Source organism: Homo sapiens, chromosome 12, assembly GCF_000001405.40.
Source record: "Homo sapiens chromosome 12, GRCh38.p14 Primary Assembly".
NCBI lineage: Eukaryota > Metazoa > Chordata > Mammalia > Primates > Hominidae > Homo > Homo sapiens.
The window spans coordinates 62643759-62657709 of record NC_000012.12 but is presented as its reverse complement, the minus strand read 5'-3'; the positions used below and the strand labels follow the sequence as shown (position 1 = coordinate 62657709).

At 43.2% G+C, this 13951-nt stretch overlaps 1 protein-coding gene and 1 non-coding gene across 3 annotated transcripts in view, besides 3 other annotated features; one reads left to right on the top strand and one right to left on the bottom strand.

Moving 5' to 3' along the window:
• PPM1H (protein phosphatase, Mg2+/Mn2+ dependent 1H) overlaps nucleotides 1-13716 on the top strand; it is a 291157-nt gene extending 277441 nt beyond the window's left edge. For both annotated transcript variants that reach the window (NM_020700.2, XM_011538578.3), the window contains exon 10: nucleotides 9074-13716. In NM_020700.2, the coding sequence (NP_065751.1) occupies nucleotides 9074-9221 (148 nt within the window). In that variant the 3' untranslated portion in view covers nucleotides 9222-13716. The remainder of the gene's footprint in view (nucleotides 1-9073) is intronic.
• Nucleotides 1235-1855: an enhancer, noted in NCBI's record as "OCT4-NANOG-H3K27ac-H3K4me1 hESC enhancer chr12:63049635-63050255 (GRCh37/hg19 assembly coordinates)". NCBI's record gives its function as "activates a minimal SCP1, AML or CMV promoter by ChIP-STARR-seq in primed H9 embryonic stem cells {active_cell/tissue: H9 hESC(primed)}" and the evidence as "EXISTENCE:reporter gene assay evidence [ECO:0000049][PMID:30033119]".
• Nucleotides 3098-3719: an enhancer, noted in NCBI's record as "OCT4-NANOG-H3K27ac hESC enhancer chr12:63047771-63048392 (GRCh37/hg19 assembly coordinates)". NCBI's record gives its function as "activates a minimal SCP1, AML or CMV promoter by ChIP-STARR-seq in primed H9 embryonic stem cells {active_cell/tissue: H9 hESC(primed)}" and the evidence as "EXISTENCE:reporter gene assay evidence [ECO:0000049][PMID:30033119]".
• Nucleotides 3720-4341: an enhancer, noted in NCBI's record as "OCT4-NANOG-H3K27ac hESC enhancer chr12:63047149-63047770 (GRCh37/hg19 assembly coordinates)". NCBI's record gives its function as "activates a minimal SCP1, AML or CMV promoter by ChIP-STARR-seq in naive and primed H9 embryonic stem cells {active_cell/tissue: H9 hESC(naive and primed)}" and the evidence as "EXISTENCE:reporter gene assay evidence [ECO:0000049][PMID:30033119]".
• LOC124903103 (small nucleolar RNA U13) lies at nucleotides 6432-6535 on the bottom strand. Its single transcript, XR_007063640.1, has one exon. It is a non-coding gene; the product is annotated as a small nucleolar RNA U13 (small nucleolar RNA).
• Nucleotides 13717-13951: the final 235 nt, after the last annotated feature.

Sequence of the window (13951 nt, the reverse complement as noted above, 5' to 3'; positions counted from 1 at the left end):
CTTTCCATGAGTTAGCTGAACTAATTTCTTGCATGCCATAAGGTTTTCAAAAACTATGCCTTAAATGCAAAAAGGAAGGGTTTCCTCCACTTTTCACCATACCAATTACTGGTTTTAAGAACAAATTCATGAGTGTTTGATCTGGTGTCTGAAGACTAGATAAAAATCTGCAGTTTTCTCTCTTTTGCAATGTTTAGCACACTCAGATCTGTGGGAATTCAGAAATCAGCCTGAGGTCCTGGCTGTGGCAGCCTCTAACAGCACACAGCCAACCACCGTCCCATCCTGTTTAGGGTGTTTATGTGGCAGAGCTGTGTGGCCCCTTAGCTGTGTGGCCACATCAGGATGTTTTACAGGGCTTCCCAGGGAGGATTGAGAAGGAAATAGTCTATTATGCCCCCTCGTATTGAAATGTTACTGTTTGGAATTTGAACTAAAAACCTACCACCTAAGAAACCAGGGAACCAGGGCCAGGGTGCATAGAGGTGGATGAGGCCTGGCAGGGCGTCTCACCCTCTCTCATGGGGGTGGGGAACTCCCTCCAGTCTGCAGCTTTGTGTCTGCTGGCAGCACACAAACTCCCAATGAGCCCAGTGACAGCACTGCAGACAACAGTTGTCGTTATTCTGGTGTCTCAGGGTATTCTGCCTGAGTGGAGTCCCCATAACCTGACAGGGGACAGAAGCTGGCATGAGCAGCTTCACCTGCTTAAGAACTCGGTTCCAGAGCTACACAAGGGGCATCTGTGGACCAGCTCTCAGCAGTGAATCTAAGATGTGTGCCTCTTCCCAGGATGAGTTGCCTAGTTCTGGGCACAACAAAGGCCATTCCCTATTCTAAGCCACCCCTGACCCTCCACCCACCAAGACGCCACTGCCATAGACCCCTGCCAACATTCCAAAGCTGGGAGAGCTTTTCTACCTCTTAAATTTCTGAGGCCTGCTCAGAATGCAAAGGGGATTCCTCCTCCTGTTCCCCTCACACTGTATTACTGCGGGTGTCAGCAGATGGAGCCTGCCTTTTATATGCAAATATTTGGAAGCCATTAATTCCCCAGTTCCTGCCACTACTCACCCTCTTATAAGACCCTGTCTGTACCATCCAAATGGCAAATTGAAGTTCCCACCCAACAAGAACTATTAAGAACTTTAAGATACGGTGATAGCCTGCAGCCTGAAATTGACTTATTTTTGACACTGTTGTGCTGATTCAGATGCTAAAGATTCAGAAAACAGACTATAAGACGTAGATGACTTATGACAAAACTCCTGGGGAGGAGAAAGGCATTTAATATCTAATAAGGAACATAACTAACACTTATTGACCTCCGATTGTGTGCCAGGCACTGTGCTGAATGCTTTATGGAAAGATCACATGGCTGTTACAGGAGCCTTGGAGGTCTGCACTATTATTGAGTAAGGAAAGAGGGGCTCCAAGAGGCTAAAAACTTCTTCCAGAGCCACCCATCTGGATGGTGGGAAAGCCAGGATTGGAACCTGGGCAAGCCACGCTTACACCCAGAGCCCTTTTCTGGTCCATTAGGAAGGAAAAGAACTAAGGACAGCAACAGAATCTGCAAGGACAAGAGGACAATCGAGGATTTATGGCCTCCTTCCGCCTGACTTTAAGAGTCAGTGGTTATGAAAAGAGCTTTGGCCTTCCCATCGCTCTTCAGCCCCTCTTCCTTTTTGTTTTCCATGCCTCCCCTGCTGTCCTTTCTCTGCTCCCTCCCGCTCAGAGCCTGAGCCCTGTGGAGTTTGCCAAGTCTGATCCCTGCCCAGCAGCCATTGCTTTCAGCAGAGCTTTGCTGATAAATATTGAAAGCTTCAGCTAGAGAAGAAAAATGTTCTCAAAATTCAAAACATGTCTCCTGGGGAGACTCTTCATTAGGAGTGGGCATTTCAAACTCCTCCGCAGTTGTCTAATGCAGCCTGGCCCAGCATTCAGTGACGGCACTAGGGCTGCTCCACACACAGCTTCCAGAAGCATCGGGCTCCGGCTGCCACACAGTCCCAGTTGGTGTGTAACAGAATCCACTACCCATTGGCTGTCTCCAGCTGTACCATATTCTTCTTGGCTGCTCTCTTGGATATTTTATGCTTATACAGTATGTATGTTTTGACTCAAATTTTCTTCTACTACTTTCTACAGTTCTCCTTTGATGGCACCTAAATGCCCTTGTGTTCAGCCTCAATAACAAAACCAATAAAGCCTTCCTGTTTTAATACCACCTTAAGCACTTTCACTGTCACCAACCCAGGGATCCCTGATGTAAGGTAGAAATTGGAGAATACAATGGGGGCAGGAGAAGCAGTTCTTTTCCTTCAGAGAAAGTTGTTTGTTTGTTCTTGCCCCAGTCTTGACATAAAGCAGCCTAGCAAAGGATTTCATGCATTTCATATGGCAAGGTGGCTCCGAAGATGGATGCAAATGAGCTCTGAAATGGCCACCAGCCTGGCCCAATATGGTAGCTAGCTGACACAAAAGGCCTTCTCCCAAGAGCTGAGTCCCCGGGGTTGTGTTGAGTTAATGAATCTATGAGGAAAGCTCCTGCGAGTGACTTCATCTTCCCCTAATGCTGTTGCTGAGTTTCACTGCAATGCTGGTCTCCTGTGGCATGAAGGGAATGTCAGGAAGCTGGTCCTAGAGCATTCGTACTGTCACCTATGGAGTGCAGCATCTAACGGCTCAGTTGTCCACGCACACTGCTCTTGGACAAGGAGGGATAGACATGCACTGGAGAAGCCGGCGGAGAGAAGCCGTGTGAAGGAATCCGACCTCCTGGGAACAGGGTAGGAAGAACAGGTCCTAGGAATCTTCCCTAAACTTCTCCCTCAGGCGGGGCTGTCCTTACGCTTCTGAAGCACATGGGTACATGGATCAGGGCAGCTGCCTGACAAGACTGAGGTTTTATGAGGAGGAGGAAATGGCTGGGTAGGTTTACCACACAGGAAAAGTGTGAAGTTAAACCTCATATGGTTAGCAGCGGCGAATCCATACAGGTCTGCAGCAACTCAGTTCTTGCTGCCTTGGAGGAAAGAATTCAGCCCAGGGACAAAAGGCAGAGTGAGAGACCGAGGCAAGTTTTAGAGGAGGAACGAAGGGAAGTAAAGTACATTTGGAAGAGGACCAAGCGGCCAAGCGGCCAACTTGAGAGATCCAAGTGCCTTGTCCGGCCTTGACTTGGGGTTTTATACATTGGCATGATTTGCGTTTCTTCTCCCCTGATTCTTCCCTTGGGGTGGGCTGTCTGCATGCACAGTGGCCTGCCAACAGTTGGGAGGGGCTGCATATGCAGTGTGCTTACTGAAGTACGCATGCTCATTTGTTTTTCCCTTATCTGTTGAGTGTTTCTGGAGGAAGGCCATATGATAGTTAAACTCGGCCATTTTGCCTCCTAGTGCGTGTGCCCACTCGCCTATCTCCTGAGACCTTATCAGGAGGCTGATCACCTGCTTCAGGTGTTGCTTTTTTTTTTTTTTTTTTTTTTTTGAGAAAGAGTCTCTCTCTGTCACCCAGATTGGAGTGCAGTGGCACAGCCTCGCTTCCCAGGCTCTAGAGATCTTCCCACCTCAGCCTCCCGAGTAGCTGGGACGACAGGCATGTGCCCAGCTAATTTTTGTATTTTTTTGTAGAGACAGGATTCACCACATTGCCTAGGCTGGTGTCTAACTCCTGGGCCCGAGTTAATCCACCCGCCTTGACCTCCCAGAGTGCTAGGATTACAAGCGTAAGCCACTGCACCTGGCCAGGTGTTTTCTATTGGGAGACTGCATTTCCCTGGTGCCAGCTGTGACCAATTGTTATTTTAGAGGGTTTAACAATGGCCTGACTATCACCTGATGGTCGCCAGACATTCCTGGGGGAGGGCCCTCCCCTGCCCTGATCATGTCTACCTAACTGCCTACTCTAACAATACTACTCCTGTGGTATGGGGATCCTAAGCCAAAAAGCTGAAATGAACATGTTCTAGCACTACAGAAATCCATACTGCCCCTCAGTAAAGGCAAATTTTAAATCTCTTTGGATAACCCAGGGCACATGTGAACAACCCCTTCTGAAGAAGCACTTATTCTTCTTCACACTCACCATGAAAAAGAATAACCAAATACAATAGAGCCTTCCCTCCGGGCCCTCAAAGAAAACCTGGGTGTAACAGAACAAGTTTAGAAGAGAGTTAAACTTGTGCAAATAGAATCATAAGGTCAGAAGAGGTCAATTTGGTTCTTTGGACAAGAACCAAAGAGAAATTCACAACGGTGAAACACTGTCATTGAAACAAAGTAATTCACTAAATGGATAGTAAACTGCTAAAGGGAGTTAGTGAATTGAAAGATATCGCAGAGAAGTTGAAATCTGCAAGGTAAAATAAGATCTAATAAGAGTTTATGGAGAATATCTACAAAATAGAGGAGAGGCAATATCCAAAAAGTTGATGGCTGAGAATTTTTCAGAAGTTTTCAGTTTGAAAGAGTAAAACTAATTTCTTACCATGATAAGTAAAAAGCTCCTTTTTGTTATGTCTTAGTGGTACTTCATATCAGCAACAAAAACACAAAAACTTGAAAAGCTATCAATGACAAAAGCCATTTACCTATAAAGGAATGATAAAAGACAGACTTCTCAAAAAGAGTAGAAGTCAGAAGTAAGCAGAATAATGTCTTCAAACTGCTGAGGGAAAATAACAGACAATCTAGAATTGCATAACAATAAAGCTATCAGCCAAAATCAAAGGTAAAAATAAAGATTTTCTTAATCCAAAGACTAGGTGAGCTTACCACTCACAGACCATTGTTAAAAAAATTACTAAAAATGTAATTCAATGGAAGGAAATTAAATCCAGAAGCAAGGAGTAGTTTCATAAAAAGCAAAGAAGTTAGTATGTTGGTTTATTTATGTAAGTGTAGATTGTAAATGATAATGATTAAGGCAGGCTCAAAAAAAGGTGAATTAAAATAATAGGCAGTAACATGGAAAATGAAAGAAGGCATTCTAAGGTCCTTTTATTTTCAGGAGGACAGAAATACGATTAACTTATATACTAAAAATTTAACATAACTGATAATAGAAATAACACTTCCAATCCAGTTGGGGGAGGGGAATATTAAAGCTATCCACCTGACAGAAAACAAGAAAGAAGGAAAGAAGCACATAATAAATTAAAAACACAAAATAAGTTTTCATATGTGTGTGTATATATGACTGCAAAATATAGGTACAGGTCTACCAGTTTTTGCAATAAACAAAATTATCATCTTAGTGACTATATGGATTTTGTTTTAATTAGCCATGTGCTACTAATAAAATACACTTAAAATAATGCAAAGTTTATTAGCTGGGCATGGTGGAATATGCCTTAGTCCTAGCTACTTGGGAAGCTGAGGTGAGAGGATCACTTGACCCCAAGACTTCAAGGTTACAGTGAGCTATGATTATGCCACTGCACTCCAGCCTGGATGACAGAGCGAGGCCCTGTCTCTGAATAATAATAATGCAAAGTTTAGAAGTCCTACACTGCCCTGTGGATTTCATAATTGAACAATATCAGGGTGTGAAAGTGGCATTGAAAAACACTATGATTTCTTGCCTAAGAGACCAGGATACCATTAACTAAGGATGATAGCTGGGGATGTTCCACTTTGGAAGTAAAAAGAAATTAATGATCATTGAGTTCTTCCTAAGTCTTAGTTAGGGCCTACAAAGGAAATTAAGAAGGAGCATCAGAGAGAAGGACTTGTGCTGTGTGTCATGGAAGCCCAGTCACAGGAGAACTTGGAGTGGGTTATGGCATGGGAGCCCCAGAAAGAAAGGAGAATTCAAGAACAGAGATTTTTAAGGATAAAATAATCAGCAGTATTTGTGCTGAACACAAAGGGTTAAGCAGAATAAGTATTGAGAAGCCACCCTTGGATCAAGCTTTAAGAGGACAGATTAGTAGAGTATTGGGCCTACTGGTAAGAGACAAAGGAAGAAAATGGGAAGTAATAAATTGAGAAAGCAAGAGTGGATTTTCCCTCAGGAAGTTAAGCACCTAAGGGAAAACAGAGTGGATGGTGAAGAGAGAACCAATCTCAAAGGAAGTTATCTTGGAATAGGAAATAACCATATTGAAGAATGAAACCTTAATTACCTACAGCCCTCAGGGAAATGAGTTTCCTGGGTAGCCATCTTTTCTAGGTGACCTAATCCTTGCTTTTTAAAAATACCAAGCTAATTTTGACCATTTAAAAAATATGCAAAGTCACTAGTAATAGCAGCATCAGGGTGGTCTCTTGTTCATCTTTCATGACTCTAATAAAGCCAGTCATTTCTCCATGACTGCAGGACCTGTTGAGGCCTGTTTGGAGCTTAAAATAGCCATAAAGAGTTGTGTTTTGAGTTCCTGTATCTGTTTTTTGACATCTTTGAGTGTCTGTCTATCTCTTTTTCCATGTCTCATGGGTAATGTGCTGACGTAGTAACAAGGTTTAAGGGAGGCACATTTCACACGTAAGTGTGAAAACTCAAACATCAAGCTTATGAACTACAAAAGGATTGAGTATCTTTTATTGTCAGGCATATTTTCTCATAGCATACCATAATTTTCTATGTCTAGTCAGCTCATACCTGGGTTAAGGTGTGTTCAGGCCTGATAGGCAAATAAACTTAGCCAGGTTTCTGAACCTAAAAAGCTCAGGTGCAGACTGATCAATCACCAGGATAATAAACATCACTCTGGTGTGGCTGGTGGCCTTTCCCCATGTGTTTATGTCTCATATACAATTTAATATAAAACTAAGAGTAAGCTGGGGTGATATGGTTTGGCTCTGTGTCCCCACCCAAATCTTATGTCGAATTGTAATCCCTACATGTCAGGAGAGGGACCTGGTGGGAGGCAATTAGATCATGGGGACCGAGTTCCCCCATGCTGTTCTTACGATAGTGAGTGAGTGAGTTCTTACGAGATCTGATGGTTTAAAAGTGTGGCATTTCCCCCCTTCACTCACTGTCTCCCGCTGCCATGTAAGACATGCCTCGCTTCACCTTCACCATCCGGCATGATTTTAAGTTTCCTAAGACTTTCCCAGCCATACGGAACTGTGAGACAATTAAACCTCTTTTGCTTATAAATTACCCAGTCTCAGGTAGTTCTTCATAGCAGTGTGAGAATGAGGTGAGCAGCTGAGAGGCTTTTCTGACTATAGTGTATGAGCTGCAATATGTCGATTTTCAGATATTTACTTAGCTCTTCAGCCAAAGATCTCTTTGGAGGCCTTTATTTCCTGATCTCAAGAGGAGGAGAACCTCAGGACGAACTGTTTGCATCTTCCCTCAAGAATAACTTAAAGATTTCTGCCTCAAAGATGATAATTCTCTCAATACAGATAGAAAAAATTATTCACCTACTACCCCATCCTCTAGAAGGAAAGGTATTTATTTTGTATTGACTATAATATCCTTTCTGCTGTAGTGTATGTTACACTTCTGTCTGCTATCTGGGCTGTACAAATAGACTTGATCCTCAAAGACTGAACAACTTGGAATCTTCACAATCCTGGGATCATTTGTTAGAGGACTTGTTCTTAAATAATGTAACAATGATGCAGTTCTCAACATGAAAGTCTGTGAATTTTAGCAAAAGAAATGGAGAGGCTTCTGGGGTTCTGAATTCCATAACTCACAGCTCTGAAGGCGAGACTACTGAAACATTCCAAGTAGAGAAAGGTCACTAGCAATATCAGGGTGGTCCCTTGTAAAAGGCCCACAGGCTGGCTTCCAAGAGGACTTATACGGTGACATTTATTATCTTGATGATTTACCAGTCTGGCTCTTAGCTTTTCAGGTTCAGAAACTGATTTAATCAAGATACAGAAAAGAGATTCATTATCAGAGTTGGTCTCACCTTAACCAAGCTCACAAGATTGATCTGTAAAGCAAAATGCCACTTGACATTTAAGCAAAGAAATATAACTGATGGATATTCTTAAAGTAAAAACGACTAGCTCATTCTTTCCTGCAGGCAGGCCTACACAGGGAGGCAGATCATAATCAGGAGGTTCTTTGGTGAACACGAAATCAGAATAAAGCTGAATCATATGCTTAATGGTATAGACTAAGAAAATAGTCCATCCCACACCAAATATGACCCTGCCAGTGGAACTAAGTTCCTTTGAAGGCTGTCAACTATGACTCCCTCTGCTCTGGTCAGTGTTTGGATAGACACCTGCCAATGTTTTGTCTCATTTTTTTATGCCTCAGGGCTAACCCAGGCCCATACCCACCCAAATCACTTCCCAAGTTAGTCTTTCTCCTAGATGTTAATACTTTCCCATCAGCTTACAGTGTCATTCTTTCTCCTTAAGCTTACAGTTTAAATCTCAGCAATCTTATTTTCAAATTCTTAAGGGATCCCTTGCTGAACTTACATTGGTCAAGAGGAGAGGGTGACGCTGACAAGTAAGCAGCTCACTCACACCAAGGCTTATCAGTCATTTACAAAAAAAAAAATTAAATAAATTAAAAAAAAAAACCAAAAAACTTCACATTCTTGCTATATGCTTATGCCAGGTTGTATTATTTTTAACATTTTTCCTTAACTCACTTTTTTAAAAAATTTATTTTAAATGATTTTTACCATAAATAGAAAATGACTATTCTTTGTCACAAAAGCAATATAACTCTAAAACTAAATATATTGAAAACAAAAGTTCTGATTTTTCCCATGTACTTTTTAAGCTAGATACCATTTGTCATGGAAAGCTCTGAGCTTGAGCAGCTCTTTGAGCTATACTAGCAGCAAACTGAGACTCCCCTCAATGTAATCAATCAAAAACATCAAAAGAGGACTGAGGAGGTGAATAATGTAAGACATTATCTAATGTATTTAGTGCCTTATCCCACTACCATGTAAACAATAATCTCACATTAGGTGTCCTACATTTTGGGAAAAGATGACCTTGTCTTTTTCGTATTGTAAGTGTATTTGAAACTTATTTATACAACTGTAGTGATGCCTCCCCCTTCCCAGCCTCACTTGACCCTGGCTTCTGTCTGATGCTCTACTGACTGTCTCGTTCCTGGTTCTCCTGTGTAGGTACACACTGGCAGCTCAGGACCTGGTGATGCGTGCCCGGGGTGTGCTGAAGGACAGAGGATGGCGGATATCTAATGACCGACTGGGCTCAGGAGACGACATTTCTGTATATGTCATTCCTTTAATACATGGAAACAAGCTGTCATGAAAATGGCCCAGGGGATTGGGAGGACAGAGGGGAAGAAAGCTGGGATGCCTCTTGGCAGGACGGAACTGGGAAGTGCCCCAGCTGAGTTCCAAGTGATGCAGTCTCTTCCCAGCCCAAGCGGGGAGTTCATGGCCAAAAGACTATGCTTCAAGATGACCCTTTGGTTTCCATTTCTTCTTTAGTAACAGGTCAACTCAACAAGAGCAAAACACAAAGGCTGCTACCAAGTGTTGTTGTATTTCAGTTCCTTTCATAGGCCTCCGAGGTGGCCATTGACTATTTGGGGTATATATGTCATATTTATTTTATCTAGAGTAGCTGGGGCAGCCATTTTCAGGTGTAAATGGCAGAGGACTCTTCAGCCTGTCAAGCTGCCAGCTTATCTACGGGTTAAAAAGTGCTGCATTGGAAAGTAGGGGGTCATGCCTCAAAATGTAAGTAAGTGCCCACCTTCTAGGAAGCCTGAGGTTTATTTCAGGGATTGCCGTCTGCCCCCCGCCCCCCTTCTCTTTTTTTCTTCTCTGTTTCTATTCTTTTATGGCAGTGGTGGAGTGAGGCAGGGATTTTTTTTTTTTTTTTTCGTGTTTTTGACATTCCTTGAATCTGTTTTTTATTCCCCTTCCACAGAACAGGCCTGGGACTTTCCAACACCCTGCTAAGGAAGTTCTGTGTCCAAGTCCCACCCAGGCTGGGTTGTCCCCACCTCCTCCAGCCCACACAGCCCAGGCAGCATCCGGGCCAGTGCCCTGCATGACAGAGGGTCTTTGTTGTGTAATGTTTGTTCCCAAGTTGCATTTTCTAACCGAATCAGTGTGTTTTCATGAAACTGAGTGTTTCTGTGGACCAGTAGTTCCTCTGTTGTCTTCAGTGGTCTTCCTGTGTGGCTCAAGGGTTCTCTGTGAGAGTCTGGATTTTCATTTCTGGAATGGCTGGCCCCATCCCACTTTTCTGTATCATGGGGACACATATAAAGCAGTGTTTAATAGAGCAGTTTAAGAAGTTGCTTGCATCTGTTGGTTCACCATGGCTCATCTGGGGACCATTTTGGATTCATGTTTCATGGCTTGTGACTGTCCCCAAGCCCACTCCAAACAAAGTGTAAGGATCAGAGTTCTGTCAAGGAGCAGCAGTTCTGCTCTCCCCATCATCTTTGTGCAAGGCCCCTCGGGGGGCACTTTAATAAAAGAATTTGAAATGGGTTGACTGGCCATTCTCATGCTGTGCTCCCTGTCTCTTCTCTTCTCTAAAGAATCATGTCCCAGCTCCTCAAGGTCCCTCTATGGTTCCACATCTGAGTGTTCGCCACAAGAGCAGCAGCAGCAGGCACAGTGCATGCCATATCTACCTGCTGCTTCTCTGCTGGGAGGAATGGCCAAGTAGATTATAAAACTCACTTCTGTCTCTTAGGCAGACTTGTACGGCCACAAAATTACCTAGTCTTCTTCCTGCTGAGCTACTGAGGTATTGCCACCATTTTGACAACTTTGAGTAATTAAAACACTCTTCTGACCCAAAAAGGAAAAAAGGTCACTGACGTGACCCCCCCAGCATGCTAGAGAGCTAATTCCAGTTCTCATATTTGTTTGAATTTCTTCCCAGAGGAGAGGATAGGAACCTCTCCTCCAGGGCAGTAAATCACCTGCATTTCTGGAGTTGTCGGTATTGTATTCGAAAAGGCCTGGAGCCCCTCCTGCTCAGGAAAGAACTCATTCCAGGGTGTGGAGACAGTGCCGTCTGGCAGGTGAAATACTGTGGGAATTCACGCCACCAGGTGTTTGTGCAAGTGTTGGCCTGGGAAGAATGGGACTTCGGCCTTGTCAGGAGTTGTCTTCATCTGCAGCACGTTTCTTCCTCCTGCAGTAGATCTTAGCTACCCCAGATATCTCTATGGAGAGAAGTTTGTGGAAAATGCTTTGCTTCGTGGCAGAGTCTGATGCTGTAGGAAAACCTTCGGGCATGTGACAGCAGTGTGGTCCACTCCCTGTTCTGCCCTGGCACTCAGAGTCATGTGTAAGTAGGAAACCTGAGCAAGTCTTCCGTGGAGGACCCTGAGCTGCCGTCTTTGGGATCCTTCCTGTGTCCCCACCGTCTTTCATTTATTTGCTTTCCTGGGCCTCTATCTGGGCCCTACCTTGAGCTTCTCCAGTTTTATTCAAGCCACCAGAGTAAGAATTTGGGTGTAGATGTCACAACTACCTTCTACTCAATTCACCAATTCATTTACTGCTATGGCACGTCTCAGGAATAACTCTAGAAACCTCTAAATCGAAATATTATAAAATCTTGAGCACTTAGTCCTGCTGGTTTTAGTTAGAAAGGCATCCAGGAATTGTTTTCCTACGCCCCCTTGAGTGGAAAGATCTTAGTTAGAAGATAAAGTCAAGTTTGTGTTCAGGGGATGGGAGGAAGACTATAAATAAGATGAAGAAATCAAAAGTAGGAAACATGATGTAAACGAAGCATGGCAGATCTGTCCAGCACTGATATTGCTCTATAAATTGAGCTTACTCAGTTTTGGCCTTATTTTTTTACCCAGGCCCCATGTCACCCAGTCCTAAAACAGTAACCGTGTCTACATAACGGGTTGGCCCCTGGTGCATCCCTGGAAAAGTCAAAGGACGCACACTTCGAAATTCTGCAGAACGTATTTATACATGGTTCAGAAATCTTGCGTATCTGACTTATAGCCAAATCTGCTTGCTCGAATAGCCTCAGAGGAAGTCTTGTTTAATAAAAACCTTTTGATTTCCTAGTCAAGTCTTTATGGTTGTCTCGAGGGGTGTGTGGCTACTTTAATGAAAGGCTTTCCTGCTCTAAATCTCTTTGCTGGGCTGGGCCTCTTCAGACTATCTGGTGAAACTCCTTTCCTTAGAACAAACTCAGTCCGTCCATGCTCTGTGGCATTTTGCTAGATGATAACCAAAGCCTTATTCCTGTAGCCAGTGTCAGCAGTCAGAGAGGTGGAGGGTGTGTTCTGCTGTGGTTATGCATACCTATCTGCTGTTCTTGAGGTGTAAAAGGAAAGGTGAAAATCGGGCCAGGCCAAGTACTCAGCTGTCTTAATAGGATGAAGCCTTAAGCAGTGGAAATTTCAGTTATTTTCCACAGTATTCCATTTTGGAGGATTTGGGGTGTTTACTTTTTAAATTCTTGAACAACTTAACCTCCATGAGGCTTTGTGAAGTCAGCTGTGACCACCCTCCTCTTACTGTGTTCTCAGTATTCATTCACTTCCAGGGAAGAATGACAGCCACAGGGAGATGGTGGTGGGCAAGAATGAGAGTCCCAGGATCCAGATTTAGCCTCAGATCTTCCCCATTCAGGAAGGGTTTTCCATTTAACAAGAGCACTAGTATGAAAACATTAGGGACAAATCTCCCATGTCTTTGAAATTCGGATTCTCCTCTTGAGATCCCCTTCCTCACCTGCCAATCAACTTTATAAGGCCACAAGTGGTCACTGGTTTTCCTTCCACAGGTTTGAGGTTCTCAGCTTTCCTTAAGCGACCCAGCAGCTCCGCTGTTTTCAGAGTGAATATGTTAAGCTTTGATGAGATTCTATTTTCAGTAAGTTAGTGCTTCTGGGACACTTGGAGAAAGCTGTGAGAGTCATTGTCTACGCAAAGAACAACGAAGCTGATCCTAAAAGTGATCCAATCTAAGAAAATGGTAAAACGAGCTCTGGCCACAGCACAGAATTTTATGTGAGGAACTCAGATTTTTGAAGACTTAACAATTGCAGAGAAAGGTTGCAGCCTGCACACCATAGCCCACCTCTCTGAGCAGACTTTGGTTTTGTGTGGTGACGTGGCACATGTTTGTACACTGGGATTTTTCAAAGGACGCTACGCGAGCAGACTGACTTGCCTCTTCTGTGAGCACTGTGGCTTTTGTCAGATGGAGTGCCGGTCTGCAGAGGACTGCTCTTTCGAATCCACAGTGTTATCTGTGTAAATAGCTTTAATTTTTCTTCTGTGTCTTAGGTGAAGTTTTGTTCATGTAGCAACCAGGTAGACAGTGACCAAATAAGGCTGTAAATGTGCTGTAGTTTTCTACTGTGATGTACTTGAAGGAGAACCTGTGTCCTCTACTTTTCTGATCTCCCACAAGTATTTTGTGTTTGTTTCCTGAGTCCTGAGGTTATTATTTTACTCCTGTTTTGCCCCCAGTTTTCTTTGTTTTTTTTCTGGAGACCCAGGGAGGCCCATGGTGGAGATCATTTGTAAGGAATGGATCATGGTCTGGGTTTCCAAAACTACCCTAGTACAGTGAATGAGAGAAATCTGCCTGGAAATTGTTTCAGAACCATGTACCTTTATGCTTTGTGATTGTGAAACATTGACTTTTTTGTAACCCCAAAATGAAAACTGTTTAGTAAAGGGGATCTATTTTGTGTGTTTTGAAACTTAGGTGCAATGTCCCCTGGAAAAAGCTAAAGAAATGTATATGTTCAATGACATTTTAAAATAAAATATTATATATATGTATATACGACATATTCAGCAAAACTTTTTTCTGTCTTTTCTATGAATTCACTGTGAAGTTTCTTTGTATCAGGTAATGGTCTGTCTGGTTTCTTTATATCAGGTAATGATAATGATACAAAGAGTATCATGGCTCAATGTGAGATTATCAACTGTGAACACAGACTCGAAATCCAGAGGGAATGGATGCCAACACTATAAGCCTTCACAGGAATAACAGTAAAGGCTAATACATTTCAACTATGCC